The sequence below is a fragment of the Homo sapiens genome, chromosome X (genome assembly GCF_000001405.40).
Source record: "Homo sapiens chromosome X, GRCh38.p14 Primary Assembly".
NCBI lineage: Eukaryota > Metazoa > Chordata > Mammalia > Primates > Hominidae > Homo > Homo sapiens.
Genome location: NC_000023.11, coordinates 103,696,675 through 103,703,835, shown reverse-complemented (window position 1 = coordinate 103,703,835; position 7,161 = coordinate 103,696,675). Strand labels below are relative to the sequence as shown.

Below are 7,161 nucleotides of genomic sequence, written 5' to 3'. Positions count from 1 at the left end.
CAGTGGAGGAAATGTAGAATAAGCTCTTTGACGGCAAGGACTGTGTCTTATACACCTTTTTTTTTTTTGTAGAGACAGGGTCTCACTCTGTTGCCCAGGCCGGTCTTGAACTCCTGAGCTCAAGGGATCCTTCCCCCTTGGCCTTCCAAAGTGCTGGGATTACATGGGTGAGCCACCATGCCTGACAATCATACAACTTTTTAGCTCACATAGCTCCTGGTACCTAGCAACACTCAGTAGGTACATGTAGAATGATAGTGTGACTTCCCATTCGGTTTACTGTATACTACATTCATTCTCTTTCTGTGAACTTATTGGTCACAGAAAAAATAGACCAAAAAGAGATTTTATAAAACCAGATAGAGTTCACACACACACACATGCATGCATACATACCACACACACAAACTGCTCTTTGGGTGTAACAGAACCAAAGCTAAGAAGACAGCAGAACCTTGTAAATTGTATCCCTGAATTAAGAATGACAATGTTCTCAAGCGTACAACTTCCTAAACACACTGCACATGCTCACTTCCCGAGGGTAAGGAGGGCACTGTGCATGCAGGCAGCCCACCCTAAGGGAAGAATCATGGGAAAGGGGCGCAAGACACCGGAGGTGGGCCAGCCTATAAAGTCCTAGGATCATGGTTAAACGGGGCACTTGTTCTTCAAGTCGCCCACTTGGATCTCTTCAAAGTGCACTTTATTTCCTGCTTTAAAGCTTTTTAATAAACTTCCACTCCTGCTCTGAAAAAAAATGATAATGTTCTGATTAAACATTAGTAATATTCCAAATCTGAAGACTAGTATCAAGCTATATTTCAAAAACCAATCACCCGATAAAAGCCCTGGCAGTGACTAGTGAGTACAGTAGCAGGGATTTTGGCCTCTGCATGCTCCACACATTGTTCTCACTGGAAAGCCAGTCATCTCTGAGGGGATAGCAATTAAGCTGGTCTTCTCAGCTCACACTCTTCGCTACATGATGAGACTTCACAACTAGGATAATGCGTACAGTCTATGAACTTGGGCTGGTGGTATCAGAACAGCTTGTTAGGAAATCCTAGAAGGGCATCTGAGCCAGGGGCTTTCTCCCTCACAAAGCATTCTCTTCATGGAAGGATGATGAAGTAAATCTTATGTCAGGGAGCCACCTGAAGAAGTCACATGAGAACTCAGCTATTGTCACTCTGCCTGTGTAGCTCTGTTTTTCTCAGTCTCTGCTTTCACCATGAGGCTTTCTACAAATATCCTGGTTGCACTATACCGTATGGGGCATTACCAAGGAAGTACATGCTCTCACTATCAATTTTATGGAATAGGGAAAATTCTTACCATCATCTAAATTCAAGGAACATTTAGCCTTACAGAGCTGGATCGAGAAAAATGCACACATATTCTTTATTTTAATAGCTTCTATTCATGACAGTGTAGTGATTACTGGTGGCTTTGGTACCAGACAGAGCCTGGGTTTGAATTACAATTCCAGCACTTACTAGATATGGGTTCTTGGACAAATGACTTCACCTCCCTCAGTCTCAGTTTCCTCCTCTAAAGGGACATTTGAAGGCTCTGAAATATCCAGCATGCAGTAACTATGTGGCCTTGAGTAAATCATCAAATTTTTCTGTGCTTCAGCTTTTGCATCTGTTAAATGAAAGCAATAACAATACCTACCTCATAGGGTTGTTGTGGGAATTAAATGAGATAATGCAGTCTGGGCACAGTGGCTCACGCCTGTAATCCCAGCACTTTGAGAGACTGATGCAGGAGAATTGCTTGAGGCTAGGAGTTCAATACCAGCCTGGGGAACATAGAGAGATCCTGTCTCTACAAAAAAAATGTAAAAATTAGCTGGGCATGGTGGTGCACATCTGTAGTCCTAGCTACTTGGGAGGCTGAGGTGGGAGGATTGCTTGAGCCCAGGAGTTTGAGGTTACAGTGAGCTGTGATTGCACCACTGTACTCTAGCCTGAGTGACAGAGCAAGACCCTGACTCAAAAAAAAAAAAAAAAAAAAAAAAAGAGAGAAAGCAAGAGATAATGCAGGTAAAGTGCTTTTTTGTTTGTTTGTTTTGTTTTGTTTTGTTTTTTTGAGAAGGAGTCTCGCTCTGTCGCCCAGGCTGGAGTGCAGTGGCGCGATCTCGGCTCACTACAAGCTCCGCCTCCAGGGTTCGCGCCATTCTCCTGCCTCAGCCTCCTGAGTAGCTGGGACTACAGGCACCTGCCACCACGCCCAGCTATTTTTTTTGTATTTTTAGTAAAGACGGGCTTTCACCGTGTTAGCCAGGATGGTCTCGATCTCCTGACCTCGTGATCCACCTCCTCGGCCTCCCAAAGTGCTGGGATTACAGGCGTGAGCCACCGCGCCCGGCTGGTAAAGTGCTTAAGTCAGTGCTTGGCAAATAGTAAGTGCTCAATTAAAGTTAGCTTTTACATGACCAGACTACATCATCATAATCTCTCTTCAAATTCCATGCTGTGAGTCTCACTTGCTAAGCCCACGCTCACAAAAAGGGTCAAGCTAAAATCACTTCTCTTTATATTTTGTTTCTCAACTGACACTAGGTTCTTCCTGCTGGCATAAAACGTGTTTAAAAACTATACAACCATGGAAAATGGCTTAATCTCTCTTAGCCTCAGCTTTTTCAGGTGCGGGGAAGAAAAGGAAGAAGGAAAAGGAGGAGGGAGAGGGGGAGGAGAAAAAGAAAAAGAGGAAGAAGTGAGTCTTCCATCTAAAAGAAAAAATAAGGAGACAAACTACTCTCCATTGGACCTTGAATTTCTCTCCATTGACCTAATTGACCTATTGCCCTCTTTTTATTCACCACCAAGTTTCTTTTTTCTTTGTTGTTGGTTTTTTTTTTTTTTTTTTTTTTTGAGATGGAGTCTCTCTGTTGCCCAGGCTGGAATGCAGTGGCGTGATCTCAGCTCACTGCAGCCTGTGCCTCCCAGGTTCAAGAGATTCTCCTGCCTCAGCCTCCCAAGTAGCTGGGACTACAGGTGTGTGCCACCATGCCCGGCTAATTTTTGTATTTTTAGTAGAAATGGGGTTTTGCCATGTTGATCAGGCTGGTCTTGAACTCCTGACCTCAAGTGATCTACCTGCCTCTGCCTCCCAAAGTGCTGGGATTACAAGTGTGAGCCACCACACCCGGCCCAAGTTTCTTAAAAGAAATGTCCTTACTAGCCATTTCCACATTGTCACTTCTACCATTTACTTCTTAACACACTGTAATCTATCTTCCGCCTTCTTCCCCCTACCCACCCCTCAAATGCTTTTCCCATATTCCTCATACTACCTTCTTTTTTTTTTTTTTTGAGACGGAGTCTTGCTCTGTTGCCCAGGCTGGAGTGCAGTGGCACGGTCTCGGCTCACTGCAAGCTCCACCTCCTGGGTTCACGCCATTCTCCTGCCTCAGCCTCCTGAGTAGCTGGGACTACAGGCGCCCACCACCACACCTGGCTAATGTTTTGTATTTTTTAGTAGAGACGGGGTTTTTTAGTAGAGACGGGTTTCACCGTATTAGCCTGGATGGTCTCGATCTCCTGACCTTGTGATCCATCCGCCTTGGCCTCCCAAAGTACTGGGATTACAAGCGTGAGCCACCGTGCCCGGCCTCCTCATACTACCTTCTTAATCGCCATGTCAAGTCAACACTTTTCTGCCCTAACCTTCCATGATTTCTCTGTAACATTTGTCAGAGTTGTCACACCTTCTTTGAGATTCTCTTCTCTCATGGACTTCATTCTCTAATTTCTTCTCTTGACCCTCTGCCATACCTTCTTATGTGTTCTTATTCTCCAGGATTTAATCTCCTGATTTCACTTCTCCTCACCACACGCCTACTGCTTGGCTGTTCTTGACTGTTTCCATGGTTGTGATAACCTATGTGCTGATGATTCTTACATTTCTGACTTCATCCCATGGGTACCTCAAGAGCCAAAAAATGGCCGGGCGTGGTGGCTCACGCCTGTAATCCCAGCACTTTGGGAGGCCGAGGTAGGCGGATCACCTGAGGTCAGGAGTTCTAGACCAGCCCGGCCAACATGGTAAAACCCCGTCTCTACTTAAAATACAAAAATTAGCCAGGCGTGGTGGCAGGCGCCTGTAACAGCTACTCAGGGGGCTGAGGCAGGAGAATCACTTGAACCCGGGAGGCGGAGGTTGCAGTGAGCGGAGATCGCTCCATCATACTCCAGCCTGGGGAACAAGATCGCAACTTCGTCTCAAAAAAAAAAAAAAAAAAAAAAGCCAAAAAACTCACAACCTCCTTCAAACTTTCTCTGCCACTCTGTCCTTCAACTTTCCTAATCTTGATGAATCATCTAAGCCAGAAACTTGGGAGTCGTCCTTGAAAACTAGTTCTTCCACAGCCCTCAGATAAAATCAATTACCAAGTCCTGCTGTGTTTACCGTTCAAATATTTCTGAAACTCCTGCCTCCTTCTCTATACTCCCTGACTTCATCTTGGTTCAATCTTTGACTCCAGTGTGGTTTCCTATCCTCCACACTATTGCCAATTTGGCCTTTCTAAAACTGTCTATTTATGACACTTCCTTGCTTTGAATCCTTCAACGGCTCCCTATTGCCTCAGGAAAAAGCCCAAGTGGCTTAAGTTGGCCTACCAGAAATTTTCTTCTCTGGCTCCTGCCAGTGACTCCAGCCTCTTCTCTCATCACTCCCCTCACTCCACTAAATGCATCCTTAATTTGGCCTTGCTGATCCACCCACAGATCCCTGAACCCAGCAAGCCGGATCCTGTCTAATGCTCTGTGCCTTTGCACATGCTGTTCCTTAGCCTTTCAACGCCTTCCCTTGACCACCTGAGGTATTCTATTCATCTGTCAAGGCTCTCGCCAGATATCATGTTTTCTGTGAGGCATTCTCAAACTGCTATGACCCTAACATCCAGATAGATTTAGGTTATCTGATAATGCCCTGTACATAGCTCTATATTTGTACTTGTAAGATTAGATACTGTTCTTTTGTCTATTTCCCTCACAGATAAATGAGTTTGAGGTCAGGGATTATAAGGTATTTATCTTTGTATTCCTCATACCAAGCTCATAGCAAGAAATGAATTAGTGTTTACTATATAAGTTTTTAAAAGTCATGAGTACTGTAGTTCAAAAAAATTTTTAACCACCCAATTGCTGTGCTAGTTCTCACTAACTATACTTTCTTTGCAAGGGTCGTGTCATGAAGTACTACACTATCAAGGTAACAAGTATCTTTGTGGTTTTTTTTTCCCCCCTTTTCAAAGCTCTTAAGTGCCATGTCATCCTCAAAGCAAACTTGAGGTAAGATAACCAGGTATCCATGTAACAGGTGAGGAAATGAGGCTGAGAGACCTTAAGGGACTTACCCAAAGTTACCTATTTCTCAGTACAGTACAATAATTTATCTATTTGGCAAAGGATTTTCAAAGTCATTTTCAAGGAGTCCTAGGGTTTCATGGGAAGGGAAGGAAGGACAGGCAGCCATACCCATCCCCCACACATATATACAGACGTTTCAATCTGCATAACTCCACTCTCAGTTTATATACTTGCTTTACCATAATATTTTCTTTGGAGTGAGGAGAGAGGATGAGAAGAGTTTACTGCTTCTTTAAAAAATTTGAAAATCAAAACTGCATCATCTATAACTTTCAATTTAAGCCATTTAACAGGTCAAGGGATGTTTCAGCTGTATTATTTGGCAATATTATAGAAAGATCATTTTTTGAGAATAGGCTAAAGTCAAGGGCTATGATGACAAAGGAATCTAACAATTGGGCATCTTTCTGACTCTAAGCCCCTCTTCAAGTTATCAACCTACAGAAGTCCTGAATACTTGTCACCCTACCTCCCCTTTTACTTACTAACAATGCCTGGCTAATGACCTCAGTCTTATCAGTCCTCAGTTTAATGCTAATCCTTAACTACTTCAGACAATGAGAATCATTGTTACAAAGACAGCCCTGACCATCAGAAGGGCAAGAATGCTTAAGACAATTGGCCACAGCAACACATTTGCTATCCTGACTGCATTTAACTCTCACCAATATGCCCATGCAGAGAAATAAACAGTTGGCTCTTTTAGAAAACAAATGTCTCATGGGATTTCCCATAAGACAACTGGCTCAACAGATAACAATGTCTTAGAATTTTAGAAACTGGCGGCTGAGCACAGTGGCTCACGCCTGTAATCCCAGCACTTTGGAAGGCCGAGGCAGGTGGATCACGAGGTCAGGAGATCGAGACCATCCTGGCTAACACGGTGAAACCCCTTCTCCACTAAAAATACAAAAAATTAGCTGGGCGTGGTGGCGGGCGCCTGTAGTCCCAGGTACTTGGGAGGCTGAGGCAGGAGAATGACATGAACCTGGGAGGCGGAGCTTGCAGTGAGCCAAGATCACGCCACTGCACTCCAGCCTGGGTGACAGAGCGAGACTCCGTCTCAAAAAAAAAAAAAAAAAAAAAAGAATTTTAGAACCTGGCACAGCAGAGCTAGAAGGGCCTTCCCAGATCATTTAGTCTAGTCTGCTCATCAGACAACATGGGGATACTGAGGGCTTGATTGGGCAAAGCTCAGGCCCTCAGTGTAGTCCCCCTTTTTTCTCAACTTAGTTGAAGCTGTGAAAGGAAAGAATAGAACAGGAAGGGAAAGACTAGAGTGTGTCATCATTTATTAGCTCCAGAGGCTCACTTCTGGGATGGCTCTGACTTGTAGACAGCAACAGATTCAAGGCCAAAGGTAATCTGCAAGGGAAAAAACTGTTTCTGTGATGAACATTCAGTTCCCAACCTCTGCCCTGTTCATCTGTTGACGACACTCATATTAGATATTCACAGTCCCCACAGAAACGGGATATAGCAAAAATCTTGGCAACAGTTACAATGATATTACAGGTGTGCAATGGTCATGCCAAGCTCCAAATAGCAGAAATTCAGGATTTCTTTCACCAGGGTTTCTTTGTGAATTTGTTAATCCCTTAGACTTACACTTCTTTTAGTCTTTGCGTAGCAGAAACACAACCTGTTATCATCATTTGATTGGCCTAAGCTTCAGGTTGGTCTATTAAGGAAGGAGACAATATGGTTTCTCGTGAATGTGTTGTTATTCTCCTATGAAATATACTTCACTGATTTTGGAGTTAACCCTTCCTGTCCCATC

At 43.9% G+C, this 7,161-nt stretch overlaps 2 annotated features.

Moving 5' to 3' along the window:
• Positions 5,297–6,047: an enhancer, noted in NCBI's record as "OCT4-NANOG-H3K27ac hESC enhancer chrX:102952717-102953467 (GRCh37/hg19 assembly coordinates)". NCBI's record gives its function as "activates a minimal SCP1, AML or CMV promoter by ChIP-STARR-seq in primed H9 embryonic stem cells {active_cell/tissue: H9 hESC(primed)}" and the evidence as "EXISTENCE:reporter gene assay evidence [ECO:0000049][PMID:30033119]".
• Positions 6,048–6,798: an enhancer, noted in NCBI's record as "OCT4-NANOG-H3K27ac hESC enhancer chrX:102951966-102952716 (GRCh37/hg19 assembly coordinates)". NCBI's record gives its function as "activates a minimal SCP1, AML or CMV promoter by ChIP-STARR-seq in primed H9 embryonic stem cells {active_cell/tissue: H9 hESC(primed)}" and the evidence as "EXISTENCE:reporter gene assay evidence [ECO:0000049][PMID:30033119]".